Source organism: Homo sapiens, chromosome 14 (genome assembly GCF_000001405.40).
Source record: "Homo sapiens chromosome 14, GRCh38.p14 Primary Assembly".
In the NCBI taxonomy this organism is placed as follows: Eukaryota; Metazoa; Chordata; class Mammalia; order Primates; family Hominidae; genus Homo; species Homo sapiens.
The window spans coordinates 93640002-93656156 of NC_000014.9; the positions used below are offsets into that span (position 1 = coordinate 93640002).

A 16155-nucleotide genomic window follows, 5' to 3' on the forward strand; every position below is an offset into this window, starting at 1 on the left:
TTCTTTCCTGTTTGAGGAACTTAGCGTTTTAGTTATTACTTTGTAGAACATGGCATTATTCTGGATGATCCCTTTGAGATTCTTCTTGGGGTGCTTCATTTTCATGAGACTCTGTCTTGCACTAGTGGCTTTCTTAATGGAGAACAGCTTCCTGACTTTCCAGACTGATTTACTCATCCCTGGACCATGTTGCTAAGATTCTTGCCTCAGATTTCTTTGAAGACATCAAACCCCAAAGTTTTAAACACCGTGGTATCGATTGGCTGACGTGGAATGAGTCACTGGATGGTTCCTTCAAAAAAACTTGATATCACATTCATAAATACTTCAGTTTGAAAAATGCAAGGCCAGGCACAGTGGCTCACAGCTGTAATCCTAGCATTTTGGGAGGCTGAGGTGGGAGGATCCCTTGAGCCTAGGATCTTGAGACAAGCCCAGGTAACAAGGTGAGACCTTGTCTTTACAAAAACTTAAAAATTAGCCAGGCATTGTGGCGTGTGCCTGTAGCCCCAGCCACTTGTGTGGCTGAGGTGGGAGGATTGCTTCAGCCTGGGAGGTTGAGGCTGCAGTGAGCTGTGCTCACGCCACTGCATTCCAACCAGGGTGACAGAGCAAGACCTTGTCACAAACAAACAAACAAACACACTGATATTTCTTAGCTCAAAGATCTCCACTGCTTAAGTGCATGGAGTTCTGGGATCTTACCACCTTCCCATATTAGCAAAACTGTAATGTTGATATGCGTTTGTGATTTTAGAAATGCAGTATCATATGGGAAGTTTCCATTTATGCCTACAAATAAGAATTGTAGCTCTTTTAAGGGTACCCTTGAATAGATTTTCCCCTTTGTCTTTCATCTTTGTCTTTGGACCCTGCTGGCACACCTGAGCTCTTTCTGATTTCTTTCAAAGTCAAGAAGCAAAGAGAGAGAAGTCTAGCTCTTCACTTCAACCAAGCAGAAACAAATCACAATCTTTCTTGACTTCATTTCATGATTGAGGGCTTTCTGCAGTACAGTTGGGATGTCCAAGTTGTATTCCTGGGAATGTGATCTTTGGAGGGTTTCTAAGAGGAGAACCAGGCCTTTCTTGGCCCCTTGAAGCTCATCTATATTCACTGGTTGTCCCTTTGCTGCTTACCCAGGTGCCACCAAATCCAGCCTGCTATCAGCACCAAGCATAGTCAGTATGTTTGTGCCTGCACCTGAAGAGTTCACTGACGAGCAGCCGACGGTGATGACGGACAAGTAAGCTCGCACAGTTATTTTCTTCACCATGTTTACAGAATTTAAGTTTGGTTACCACAGTGGTGAGAAAGTTTCAGAAAAAGCATGCTTTGCTTTTAAGTCATAATTTGTTCCTCCAGTATATTGCCTGGCACACAGATGCTTGTTCAGTGAGTATGATAAAGAATAACCAAAGCGGGTGGATTGCTTGAGCCCAGGAGTTTGAGACTAGCCTGGGCAACATGGCAAAACCCTGTTTCTACTAAAATTACTAAAATTAGCCAGGTATGATGGTGTGTGCCTGTAGTCCCAGCTGCTAGGGAGGCTGAGGTGGGAGGATCACTTGAGCCTGGGAGGTTGAGGCTGTGGTGAGCTGTGATAGCGCCACTACACTCCTGCCTGGGTGATAGAGTGACTGTCTCAAAAGCAAAACAAAACAAAACAAAGCACTTGTAAGATTTCAAGTTTAGAGAAATCCCCTTGGACCAGGAAGCCTTCTTGGTAAAAGTGACCTGATTGATAAATTAGGTAGATGATATGGTTTGGCTATGTTCCCACCCAAATCTCACCTTGAATTGTAATAATCCCCACATGTCAAAGGTGGGGCCAGGTGGAGATAATTGAATCATGGGGGCAGTTTCCCCCATACTGTTCTCATGGCAGTGAATAAGTCTCATGAGATCTGATGATTTTATGAATGGGAGTTCCCCTGCACAAGCTCTCTTGCCTCCTGCCATGTAAGATGTGACTTTGCTCCCCCTTGCCTTCCACCATGATTGTGAGGCCACTCCAGCCATGTGGAACTGAGAGTCAATTAAACGTCTTTCCTTTATGAATTACCTAGTCTTGGGTATGTCTTTATTAGCAGCATGAGAACAGACTAATACAGTATGCTTCTGATAAAAGGTGAGGAAGGGGCCAGGCGCGGTGGCTCATGCCTGTAATCCCAGCACTTTGGGAGGCTGAGATGGGTGGATCACGAGGTCAGGAGATCGAGACCATCCTGGCTAACATGGTGAAACCCTGTCTCTACTAAAAATACAAAAAAATTAGCTGGGCCTGGTGGCGGGCACGTGTAGTCCCAGCTACTCGGGAGGCTGAGGCAGGAGAATGTCGTGAACCTGGGAGGCGGAGCTTGCAGTGAGCCGAGATTGTGCCACTGCACTCCAGCCTGGGTGACAGAGCAAGACTCCATCTCAAAAAAAAAAAAAAAAAAAAGTGAGGAAGGTAAGGTGGAAGGGGCTGATGTGAGTATCCCTGTAGCTGACCATCCATTACTCATTGTAATGACCTGACAGCCATGACTGAAGAAGCGGTGGTGCCTGTCTCATGCAGCTGCCTTGGAAGGTCCACACAGGTCATTGAGTTGCCCATGGAGGGCTCTCTCCAGCTCTTCCTTTGGGATTACCCCGCTCCCCAAGTCTTAATCTTTCCTATTTGCCTTTCTGTGCACTCCATTTCTTTTCTTTTTTACTTAGAAATGTGAATCCTGTATTTTAAAATGTCAATTTGTAAGAAATTTTTATGCTCTTTCTTTGGCCTATATTTAGGAAGTTTTCAGAAGGAAGGGTCACAACAACAGTTGTAGTTCTTGATTCCCTGCTATTCCCATTAGACTTTCGCTTCCTTTTATAAAACTGCTCACTTTATCAGCTGGCTTTGGTCGTGTTGAATGAAATGGACCCTACATTAGGACACTACAAAGAGCGGTAGGTTGGAAGTTACCTAAAAGCGGGTGCCATTGTTTGTGCTTTTACATATGACACTCGGCAGGCCTGGTGAGTTCATAAAACTCATCTGAGTGAGTGGTGGAGAAGAGACTCCATTGTCTCCTCAGGCTTTCCAGATGGTTCTGTAGACTTGACTACCCTGTCTCTTACCCACAAATAGAACATTTTCTGAAAGCCTCCATCCGTGCCTAAGCATTTTGCATTTTTAACTTCAACAAATTAAAAACAAATCTAGTTACTGACTTTCCTCAGCAATAATGTCAAATGCATCAAATCCTTCATCCACAGGCTTCAAACTGATGGCCCAGTTGGTACTCATTCTAAGTGAGAGCAGTCACTCACATGCAGGCCAGATGCTGGGGAACTGAAAGAACATTTTCAGTCATCAGAGGCACCTTCGTGGTCTCTACCATGTGTGCTGTTTCTGTATCTGTGGTGATGGCAGCACTGGAATCCTCTACTGATTACCAGAGTGGGGCTCCTGATCTCCTTTTGGAGACTTTTCCAAGACCTACTAAAAACAGCCGTGTGTGTAGTATATTATATCTTGAGACCATGGTTCTTTCTTTCATGGAAAGCATGTCTCTCTTTTCTTTGCAGATGCCATGACTGTGGGGCCATTCTTGAAGAATACGATGAAGAGACACTTGGGCTAGCCATCGTGGTCCTCTCCACATTCATTCACTTAAGCCCAGACCTGGCAGCCCCGCTGCTGCTGGATATCATGCAGTCTGTGGGAAGGTGAATGTCAGCTTCTGTTTTGTTTGGTAGGAAGGTCCTTTATTCAGTCTCTATCTTGAACTAAAAACTACCAGTTCAAAAGTGAAACATTCAGCCACCTTGTAGATACTGGTATTTGTGACATCAACTCAGACTAGTTTTAAAAACCAAATAGACTCGTCTTTCGACTGAATTCTCCAGCTGCGTAGGGTCATGAGTCACAATGTCAGAGCAAAGCTAGGGGCAACTGCACTAAGGAAACCCCACTGTTTGTTACCCCTGTCACTAAATGAGCTAATGGTTGTAACCACGCACACAACTGTCAGCAGTTGATAGTAAACACTTCGTAAGTATTACCTGTTATTATTATTTCTCTTTACCTGTTTTGAGATGGATTTTCTAGGCATTTGTAATCTCAAGGACACCTCATTTAACTATGAAACTTGGGGCATTGTTGTGTGAGGAGACACATAGTAATTATAGCAGGTTCACATTTCTGACTCAGATAAAAGAAGGATGCACACATTTGGGGAACAGGGCTTTCAACCTGACTGAGAGATTACGCTTAGCTGCTTTGAGGGTGTTCATGCTAAGAAAATTCTATTTAGTAGATAGGACATTAGAAGATAAAGATATATTTCATGGATATGAAGAAAGCTCAAATTCAATAACAAACTGTAGTCTTAGCGTGCACAACTTATAGGAGAGGGTTGAATTAAATGCCACATAAATGTATTAACATTTCCAATCTGTGTGAACAGTGCCAGGTGCTTTAGGCTGCAGGCGTTAGACAGAGCTCTTGGCCTCAGGTACTTTGGGCTTAGTTGCTGTGACAGTTACTGTGGACTCATTGACTAGCCAAATAAGATAGGGTGTGATTAAATGCTGTAATGAGTGGAATGAGAGAGAGCTAAGTGCTAGAGAAGATTAGTATAGGAAAGATGTCTTAAAGTTTATAAGGAGGAGGTAGCACAAGAACTGGATTCTGCAAACTCTTGGCATTTGAGGAAAGGAAAGAGAATGACTCTTAATGTTGCTAAAATTTAATCCTTTTTTAAAAATGAAAAAATGTTGACTTCAAGTTGAAGACAAATAGGAAAGCATTATAAACTCCTCAACCCCAAAAGTGTATGGCTTTCTTATCCTCCCTCCCTCCAGTTTTTTTGGTAGTGTCCTTAGGAGTCATATAGACAGATTGTATAAAGGTAAGTGTGACCATTGCATCTCAAGACTTCAAAATAGCCCATGTGCCAAGTAAGGGATGGATATGGGGATATGGAGAGATAAGAGAAGATGAATTACTTCATTTAAGCCCTTGAGTTTGACCTAGTCATAGTAATTGCAGAATAAATGTTGTCAGCTATCAGCAATACTTGGGGAGTTGAGAGTTTTTATTAATACCAGGTCACAATTTCTACTATCAATACTTCTTAGTTTCAGAATGTATAGAATTATTGTTCTGGTCTGTTATCATCTCTTTGAAACAGATGATCTAAGTTGTCATAGCTATATAGAGGGGTTTGTTTCAGTTTTGTTTCTTTTGTTTGTTTTAACATAAGTGAGAACAATATGTGTTCAAACATTGCCAACTGTTAGGATTGAAACACATGAGCTTTGAAGAAAAGCAAGGGAAAACCAGTAGCAGATACATTTTTACATATTTACATACACATATATTTAAATCTCTACCTCCTTTGGGTAGACTAGCAAGAGACAGGGAGTACATTTAGTGCAAGCTGCCACAATTCTTAGCAACCTAAGCCTAATCACCAAAGCTACCAAGAAAACAGATTCAACTGTCAGCTAATTCAGGGCTTCCTGGCATGCCTCACTTCATCACGAAGAACAGATGAGATCATGTGGTTTTACAAACACATTGTTTATTTGCGCTAATTATGACCACGGGGACCATTCCCAGCAATTCCAAGAGTTTGTAAGCTCAGCATAACGCTTTCGTGGATCACTCAAGCTTTTCCATATGATCTCATACTTTGCTGTCTGCTTGGATCCCTCTTACATGATCCCTTTCTGTAGGTACAGCCTTTAAAATCTCATTTGCTGCACCATTAATTACTGTTACTGTTTAGTTTACTTGTCAATGTTTATCTATTTTTTGTAGTGACATTAGCATGAGAAGGTCTGTAAACAACACAACTGGGAATGGTGTCTGGTGTTAGTGGTTGCTGGACCCCCTATTCTTCTCTAAGTGGGGTCTTGGCTCAGCTCACTCTTACACCTGTAGTCCTAATCAAGTAAATAAATTTGCAACATTCTCCTTATCTGTTTCTTCAGTATCTTACTGATCCAGACATGTTATTCTAAACCCATCAGTATAGTCCATTCTCTTTCTATATGATAACATATAGAATATTTCCACACATACAGAACCGTATAATTATACTTTTCTGGAAATTACATGCTCCATATCGTTTACTTAACCAATACATTTCTCTTCTCAATGTAACATTTCCTTTTTCCTCATTTCAACCCAACAGCTGACAAATATTCCTGTTATCTATTTTACTATCTTATGGAGGCTTTTACCACTTGTGGTTTGTTTATAGTTAGGTTTCAGAGGTTATATACAAAGAAATGAATTTCGAGTTGAGTTAATATGGAGAGGAGCTGGGTCAAATGTTGTTGTGATAACTGTCTGGCCTGGCTGCAGGCACCATTTTGTAGAAAACCAACTTTAACTGCAAGTGTTTCCATGAAAATGTCTAACTTGATATAGCAGGTCTCAAGGACTAGGTCAAGTTTAACTCTAGAGACTGACCACTGAGTGGGCCCTCTGTACTGTCAAGGGAATTGTCAACATTATACATGTCTCCCCATCTAAACTGGAAACACAACAGGTCCTCCCACAATATTAATGCATTTCATCATGGAAACCTAAGATATTTGTGTGACTCTCTTTACTTTATTTCCTAGATTGGCATCCAGTACTACCTTTTCTAATCAAGCAGAAAGGTAAGGTCCTAACGGGAGCCCAGATCTCACTTTCTTTTCTCCTCTGTGCATGTTCATCCTGTTTCTAAAACACCAGTGTGGGGCTGGGTGCAGTGGCTCGCGTCTGTAATCTCAGCACTTTGGGAGGCCAGGGTGGGAGGATCACTCGAGCCCGGGAGTTCAAGACCATCCTGGGCAACATAGCAAGACCCTGTCTCAATAAAAAATAAAAAATAAAAAAAATACCAGCTTGTGCACCACGGAGGGAATATTGTTAGGCTCCAATTGCAGCTCTAGAGAGCACTAGTTATTCATTTTCTGTTCATGCCTTTATTCATTCATTCATTCACTCATTTTAGCCAACAAATACTTTTAAGCCCACCCTGTGCTAGACACTCAGGCCTTCACTGGGGGCAAAACTGACATGATTCCTGCCGTCATGGGGCTTATAGTCTATCCATGAAGCCAATGTGAATAAAATATTTGCACAAATTTATAATTGTAAACTGTGCTAAGTGCTATGAAGAAAAAGTACAGAGAGACTTATATAACAGTAATTCATTCAACAAGTATTTATGGAGTGACTACTAGTTATTGAGGTTATAGTAACTATAACAAAACATCAAATCCTGGCTCTCACGGAACTTACATTCTACTTGAGGAGGGAGAAAATAAGCAAATTAACCAACAGGAAAACTGACTATGTAATTTGATATCATTTAGTGCTAAATGCAAGAAAATGAATCTAGCAAGTCTGGGAGATAGAGAGTGCCCGGAGCTGGTGTTTTAGATATAATGGTCAAGGACAGCATTTTTGAGGAGGTAATATTTGAACAAAACATGAATAAAGTGAGAGAGTGATCCATGCAGTAATTTATAGAAATAACATTCCAGGCAGAGGGAGCAGCAAATACAAAGTCTCTAAGTCAGGAAAATGCCTCATATATTTGGAAAACAGACTAATGTGGCTGGAGCAGGTTGAGTATGAAAAAGAGTGGGAGGAGATGAGAGGGAAGAGGCAGTGTGAGCCAGGCCAAGTAGAGCCCTGCAGGTCATTTTAAGGATGCAGCAGGGAGTCATTGGAGTGAGGAGCAATGTGCTTTAACCTGCTGCATTAGTCCACTTTCACACTGCTGATAATGACATGCCTAAGACTGGGTAATTTATAAAAGAAAGTGGTTTAATTGACTCACAGTTCCACATGGCTGGGGAGGCCTCACAATCATGGTGGAAGATGAAGGAAGAGCAAAGGGACGTCTTACATGGCAGCCAGCAAAGAGAGAGCTTGTGCAGGGGAACTCCCATTTATAAAACCATCAGATCTCGTGAGACTTATTCACTACCACAAGGACAGTATGGGGAAAACCACCCCTATGATTCAGTTATCTCCCACTGGGCCCCTCCCACAACGTGTGGGAATTATGGGAGCTACAATTCAAAATGAGATTTGGGTGGAGACACAGGCAAACCATATTACCTGCTTTGAAGGATCACTGCCTAGTTACTGATCAAGGGGCATGAAGTTTTAGTCAAGCCAGATGAATGAGCTCTGAAGATCTGCTGTATGGCATTGCATCTACAGTCAACAGTAATGTATTGTACATGAACACTTGTTAAGAGAATAGTTCTCATGTTAAGTGTTCTTACACAATAAAATAAATCTTTTTAAGGAAAAAAAATTTTGAGGACCCCTCTGGCTTCTCTGTTGAAAATAGGTTATGGGGAAGGGGTAAAAATGGAAGGAGGGAACCAGTTTGGAGACCATGTTAGCGGTGCAGGTGAGAGGTTAGTGGTTTGGTCTAAAGTGGTGAGAGGCAGCCACATTAAGGATATATTTAGGAAATATTTTGAAGTAGAGCCAACAGAATTTGCTGATAGATTGGATGTTGGGTGTGAGAGAAAGAGAGGAGGCAAGAATGACTCCTAGGTTTTGGTTTAAACAACTGGGTGGGCGGGTGTGGCATTTGCTGAGATGAGCAAGCCTGGATGAGAGCTGATGGTGTGAGTGGGTGTAACGGGTGGTCCCAGTCTGGTCTTGGTAGTGGTAGAGGAGGGGAGAATGAGGGGAGGGCTTCCCTTAAGAAGTGATGTTTAAACTAAGATCTGAAAAAATGAGTTTAACCTGATTATGCACATAGTTATGGAAAGAGCATGGTAAAAACAGTGTGTAGGAGGAACTATGAAAAAGCCAATATAACCACAGCACAGAGATGCAAGCACTTGCTGAGTTTGACTTACCAGATTGTGTATGACTTATAAACCACATTAAATATTTTGGACTTTCTTCTAGCAGCAGTGGGAAGACAGTGAAGGATTTGTAAGCAGCAAGGTGTGTGTGTGCGTGCGTGTGTATAGCATGTAGAAAGGCTACTTTGACTGCAGTGGGGAGAAAGAACCAGAAGAGGGCAGGGACGGATGCTGTGTGTGACTTTGGCCACATTGATCTCTCTGCCTTAGCTTCCTCATCTGTAAAAGAGAGATACTAATATATGCCTTCTTGTGCCTCAGGGGTATTTTCTGTGGACTCAAATGATAGAGTGTATATGATAGCATAACTGTAGCAGGTCCTACAAACATAAGATGATATTATTGTTGACATCGCATTTCTATAATTTATTTTAGGGATGTTTGCTTTTCTTTCTTATGTTCTATTCGATGAATGGCTTTTTAAAAAACTTATTTTCTTAACATTTTTTATGGAAGATTTTAAACATACTGCAAAGTTGAAAGAATTATACAGTGAACTCTCATATACCTATCACCTAGATTTTAAAACAAATATTTTATTTTCTTTATCATGCATCCAACCATCTATCTATCCATCAATTCATTTTTTTGGATGTATTTCAGAGTAAATTTCAGATATTAGAATATATTTTCCCCTACATACTTCAGCAAAGTTAGCATTAACTCAAGTTCAATTTTTGTATACAGTTGTTTCTTTTTTCCTCCAGCTTTATTGAGGTATAATTGAGAAATAAAAATTATATCTATTTAAGATATAAATGTGATCTTTTGATAGATGTGTACATTGTGAAATGATTACCACAATCAAGCTAATTAACATATCACCTCACATAGTTATCTTTTTATTTTTTGGTGAAAACATTTGAAATCTACTCTCTCAGCAAATTTCAAGTATACGATACATTGTTGTTAACTATACTCACCATATTGTACATTGACGATGGTTGTTTCTTTTGTAAAATTTACATACAAGGAAGTGCACAAATCTTAAGTGTTTATTCCTTGAGTTTTGTCAAATGCATATGACTGTGTAACCCAAACCCCTGTAAAGATAGAGAACATTACCATTATTCCCAGAAAGTTCTCTCGTGCACGTTTCCAGCTAATCTCTACCCCCATAGAGGCAAACACTGTTGTGATATTTTTCCACATGGGTTGATTTTGCCCATTCTAGACTTCATGTCAATGGAATCCTACTGTATGCACTCTTTTGTGTCCAACTTCTGTTACTCAGCATGATGTTTTTGAGATTTATCCATGTTGCTGCTTTTTTATCAGGAGTTTGTTTCTTTTTCAAGGCTGAATTGTATCCCATAATTTGCTTTTTTATTTTCTTATTGAAGGACTTCTAGGTTTTTTCAGTTGGGGGGTATAAAAAAATAGATCTATTGTGAACATTCTTATAAAAGCCCTTTTTAAAACAAGTGTTTTTATTTCTCTTGGGTAAAATACCTAGGGATGATATTGTTGGGTTACAGGATAGGTATATGTTTAATTTTATCAGAAACTACTGGAACTTCTCTTAAAGTGGTTATGCCACTTTATATTACCAATCATCAATGTATTCTGGTTGTTTCATATTCTTGCCCAACTTTGGCATTGTTGGTCTTTTTAATTTTGGTCATTCTGGTGGATGTGTAATGGGTATTTCATTATAGTTTTAACTTGCATTTCTCTATGACATTTTTTCAAGTGCTCATTGACCCATTGCGTATATTCTTTTGAGAAGTGTCTGGTCAAATCTTTTGAATATTTTAATTGGGTTGTTGTCTTTTTATTGCTGAGTTGTAAGACTTTATATATACTGAATACTAGTCCTTTGTTAAGTATGTTTTGAGAATATTTTCACCCAGTCTGGGGCATGCCTATTTCTTTTCTTAGTGGTATCTTTTGCTGAGAAATGTTTAATTTAGGTGAATTCTAATGCATTAAAACAAAACATTACAATTATTGCTTCTTTTTATTTGTCTAAGAAACCTTTGTTTACTTCCAAGTCATGCAGATATTCTCTAATGTTTTCTTATAAAGGCTTTATGGTTTTCATATGTATATTTGGCATTTATAAAACCCATCTCAAATTAATTTTTATGTATGGTGTGAGGCAGCAGTAGGAGTTCATTTTTATCTATGTGGATATTCAGTTTTTCAGCACAGTTAAAAAAGATATTTTCTTTTCTTATTGGATCACTGTGGTGCCTGTTAAGCTTAGAAACCATGGAAGGGTGGATCTATTTCTGGGCTCTCTATTCTGTTCCATTGATCTATATATTAATTCTTAAGTTTGCACCACACTGTCTTGATTATAGTACCTTCATAGTAAGTAGTAAGTGTTAAAGTCAGGTAGCATTAGTCCTCCAAATTTAGTTATCTTTTTCAAGATTGGTTTGGATCTCTACATTCTTTACATTTTCATATAAATTTTGGAATAAGCTTGTCATTCTTATCAAAAAAGTCTGCTGGGCTTGTATTGAAAGAACAAATCAATTTGGGGGTAACTGACAGCATGAAAATATTGAATCTTCCAATTCATGAACATGGTATATATCTCATTTTCATGAGATCTTTAATTTCTCTCAGCAATGTTTTTTAGTTTTCAGTGTAGAGGTCTTGCCATTTTTGTTAAATTTATTCTCAAGAATTTTATGTTTTTTATACTAATGTAAATGGAATTTTTAAAAATTTCAACTTTTTGTTGCTGATATCTAAATAACAATTGATTTTTGCATATTAGCATGTATTCTAGCTAAATTCACTTATTAGTTCTAGTAGTTGCTTTGTAGATCTCTTTAGGATTTGATTTTGTATGGAAAAATCATCTGTAAATAGCAAGAGTTTTACTACTTCCTTTCTGATCTTTATGCCTTTTGTTTCTTTTGTTTTTTTTGAAACAGAGTTTCGCTCTTGTTGCCCAGGCTGGAATGCAGTGGTGCAATCTCGGCTCACAGCAACCTCTGCCTCCTGGGTTTAAAGGATTCTCCTGCCTCAGGCTCCCAAGTAGCTGGGATTATAGCATGCACCACCATACCTGGCTAATTTTGTATTTTTTTTTTTTTTTTTTTTTTTTTTTTACTAGAGGCCATGGTTTCTCTATGTTGGTCAGGCTGGTCTGGAACTCCTGACCTCAGGTGATCCACCCACCTCGGCCTCCCAAAGTGCTGGGATTACAGGCGTGAGCCACCGCACCCCGCCTTTTGTTTCTTTTTATTGCCTTATTGCAATGGCTCAGACTGCCAGTGTAATCATAGAGATGGGAGAGTCGGCACCCTTTTCTTGTTTCCTCTCTTACAGGGAAAGTATTCAATATTTACTATTAATCGCAGTAGCTATAGGTTTTTTTATAGATGCCCTTTAGCAAATTGAGGTATTTCCAGTTTGAGGGTTTTTGTTGTTGTTGCTGTTGCTGTTGTTGAGGCAGGGTCTTGCTCTATCACCCAGGCTGGAGTGCAGTGGCACCATCTTGTCAGTCTCAACCTCCCTGGCTCAAGTGATCCTCCCACCTCAGCCTCCTGAGTAGCTGGGACTACAGGTGTGTGCCACCATGCCCAGCTAGTTTTTTGTATTTTTTGTAGAAATGAGGGGGGTTTGCCCTGTTTCCCAGGCTGGTCTCCAACTCTTAGGCTCATGCAGTCTTCCTGCCTTGGCCTCCCAAAATGCTGGGATTACAGGCGATAGTCACTGTGCCTGGCCCAGTCTGAGTTTTTGTCATGATGTGTGTTGACTTTTGTGAGATGTATTTTCTGCATCTATTGAGATATAAGCTTTTTGTCCGTTATTTCTTAATATATTGAATTATACTGGCTGATTTTTGAGTATTAAACTATTGTTATTCTCTTGGAATAAACTCTACTTGGTCATGACCCTACTTGGTCTTTTAATCTATAGCTGGATTCAGTGGCCATGACGACTATGGGTCTGTCTGTCCTCTTCCCATTTCTTTTCTGTTTCCTTCTTTTTTAAAATTTATTTTGATAATGGCTTTATTAATTTTAGTTTTAGGGCTATGCTGCCTGCATCAAACAAATTGGGAAGGGTTCTCTCCTTCTCTATTTTCTGAAGTTATTGTAAGTTCGGCGTTATTTTTTCCTGAAGAATATTTTTGACCTAAAACTTTGAACCAGCATTTCAGGGTAGATGTGGCACAATGAGGTAATAATTGGCATAATTAGGTAAGCAGTACTTCTTACTCTTTATCTATTTACGTTCTTTGATTTTCTCTTTTTTCCTTCTGGTAACTTACCCCCTAACTACATCAAGAAGCATCCTTTCTGGTACCTTAGTCTAAGGGGCAGGGCCTCATAAATTTGGCCCTACTTTTGATGTGCAGAGGTGCACATGAAGGGTGAAGGTCAAATTGCACCTGTCAAAGTCCAGCCTTTTTACAAGTGTCAGCTCAGATGCCCAAAGAAAACTTCCCACATCTCCTAATGAGAATGAACATCTCTCTCACTGCATATATATATATATATATGAATTTTTTTTTCCTCAGAGCAACTCTGTCTTAGCCAGTGACACTTTCCTGGGAGGATTTTCCTGGTAATCCTCATCCAGGGCTCCAGTCTTGACTGTCATTCTGTGAGCATGTGACCTTTGTATGTGACCTCTTCTCTCAGGATCTCATAACCTTCCTGAGTCCATTGTGGGACCTGGAATACGTCTGAGACTACACTGGCATTTCATGGTTCTCTCTTTCTAAAAACTTCTTGTTAACAGGGATTAGGTTTGAGTAGAATATTTCATTTCACTGATGAACATGACAGTGAGCTATCCCATCAGAGGCATGGTGTGCAAATGTCTGAACTCTAAGTAAATATCTGAACACCTGCTCACTGGCCCATGACTTCGTGTCTTTTCTCCCCTGTTCAACTCCAGCATGATGGTTCCCGGCAATGCGGCGGGGGTGGCCAAGCAGTTCCTGCGCTGCATCTTCCATCAGTTGGCCCCCAACGGCATCTTCCCGCAGCTGTTCCAAAGCACGATCAAAGGTAATTCATCCACTGAGGATCCAGGCACCACAAATTTGCCTCATCCCAGACACCCAAACACTAAATCCGATCGTTGACTTTCCAGATGGGACTTTTTTACGGACCTTAGCCTCGTCTCTGATGGACTTCAATGAGCTGAGCTCCATCGCAGCTCTCAGTCAGCTCCTAGAGGTGGGTTTCCTTTAATGACACCCTAAGCCCCAGCCGAAACTCTAAGCCCCAGCACAACTGTGGGCTGTGTTTCTTTGAGTCACACCATAGGATACTGCTGAGGAAGGATTGCAATGTTATTTAATTTAAAAATGAAATCTAAAATTTTAAAATTAAAAAATATATATTAAATTTAAAGCTAAGGGCTGAGTGCAGTGGCTCATGCCTATAATCCCAGCACTTTGGGAGACTGAGGCAGGAGGATTGCTCGAGGCCAGGAGTTCAAGACTAGCCTGTGCAACATAGCAAGACCCCCATCTCTACAAAATAAAAATAAAAGAAATTAGCTGGCATGGTGACACATGCCTGTAGTCCCAGCTACTCAGGAGACTGAGGGGGAAGGATCACTTGAACTCAGGAGTTGGGGGCTGCAGTGAGCTGTGATGGCTACATTACACTCCAAGTTGTAATGGCTACATTACACTCCAATGGCTACATTACACTCGCAACGGAGCGAGACCCCCAACTCAAAAGAAAAATAATAGAAAATGCTAAAATTTAAATAATTTAAATTTTAAAAATTAACATAATTTAAATTTTAAAAATTAACATAATTTAAATTTTAAAAAGTTAATTAAGAAATAGAATTGCATAGAATAGTGTCAGTTGGACATTGCGGCTTTGCGTGGATTTACTCTTCATTGAAAACTTCTCCATACCCTCAGCTAAGTCGTGACCTTGCTTCCACAGAACAACTTGGTTTTCCAAGGGCAGAGTGGTGGGTGGAGCTATGGGCGTTGGATCAAGAGACTTGGGTTCAAGTCTCAGCACTGCTGCAGGTCAGCTCTTGGGGTTTGCTTGCGGGAGATGCTCACTGCTAGAAAAAAAGCTGCAGCTCCTGTAACTCTATGCTCAGTCTTTGTGCTGGGGATTATTTACAGTGAGCATCATTCATTGTTTTCTTAGCACCTAACCACACCAATTGTAGACCCTTGGAAGCTGTTTCCTATTTCTTGCTCACTTTTCACCTCTCATCAATTTTCCCCCTTAAGTTTGTCTGAACGATTTTCTCGTTATCCTTCCAGTCTATCACAGGGATTGGCCTATGTAGTAGGCACTGAACACGTTTATAGCCTGAAGATGTGACTTTTAAACTGACATTTACCAAATAGCGCTATGCATTCCCGTGCTGTTTCAGCAGTTGATGGCCTATGCTTTTGTGTTTTTAGGGTCTAAATAACAAAAAGAATTTACCAGCAGGGGGTGCTATGATTCGCTGTTTGGAAAACATTGCAACCTTCATGGAAGCTTTGCCTATGGATTCTCCTAGTAGCCTCTGGACCACAATTAGCAACCAGTTTCAGACATTTTTTGCCAAGCTGCCTTGTGTTTTACCTCTGAAGGTAAGCTGAGCCGAAGGTTTCATTTTCAATTAATTTCTTACCATTTTCAGACCGTTTATTTACAAGCAGCAGAGTCTTGGGTGATTTAATGTATCGCAAAGGTTAATGAGGAAACTCCGTCAGCCATGGAGTGAGGATGCTTATTTGGGTTGTTCTGTCTTCTCTTAGAGAATGACAGGAATGTGGAGTGAGCATTTTGCTCACTGACTATGAATATGCATGTTTCCAGTTGATTTGAAAAAAAAAAAAAAAAACAAAAAAACAGCCAGGAAGACATGAGTAGACTGTGTTTATCCGGCAGTTTTTCTCCCGTAGATATTAAATAAGTAAGTAAATAGTTTTGTCCAAAAGCAGCTCAGACATATAATGTAAAGTTTCCATTTTAGAGAATTATCTAAAGGGAAGTAATTGCTGTGTTTGTGAATGATGATGTTTCTGCTTGACTGTTACCCCCTACACCATACCATCTCCCAAGAATACACACACAATTACCTACCTGGAAATCTGGTGGCCCAAGGATCATTGACAACATGAGCTCAGTAAATGCAAATAAGAAGCCAATACTGTTAAAGCTGGAAGAAACCTATAAAGATCATCCCTTCCAATGCCTCTGTTTTCTAAATGAATTCTGCAAATTCAGAGAGATGGTATAGCTTCTGGAAACAACACAGTGGTGGCAATGTGAGGATTAGAACTGAGGTTTTCTGACTCACAGTCCAGTGCTCATTTCACTAGCAGACTCTTCTTGC

At 40.2% G+C, this 16155-nt stretch overlaps 1 protein-coding gene across 33 annotated transcripts in view; it reads left to right on the top strand.

Moving 5' to 3' along the window:
• The window catches only part of UNC79 (unc-79 subunit of NALCN channel complex), a 374695-nt gene that overhangs the window by 306820 nt on the left and 51720 nt on the right, over positions 1–16155 (top strand). For all 33 annotated transcript variants that reach the window (XM_011537027.3, NM_020818.5, XM_011537026.3 and 30 more), the window contains 6 exons: positions 1144–1246; positions 3556–3696; positions 6607–6645; positions 13741–13853; positions 13939–14024; positions 15233–15406. In XM_011537027.3, the coding sequence (XP_011535329.1) occupies positions 1144–1246; positions 3556–3696; positions 6607–6645; positions 13741–13853; positions 13939–14024; positions 15233–15406 (656 nt within the window). The remainder of the gene's footprint in view (positions 1–1143; positions 1247–3555; positions 3697–6606; positions 6646–13740; positions 13854–13938; positions 14025–15232; positions 15407–16155) is intronic.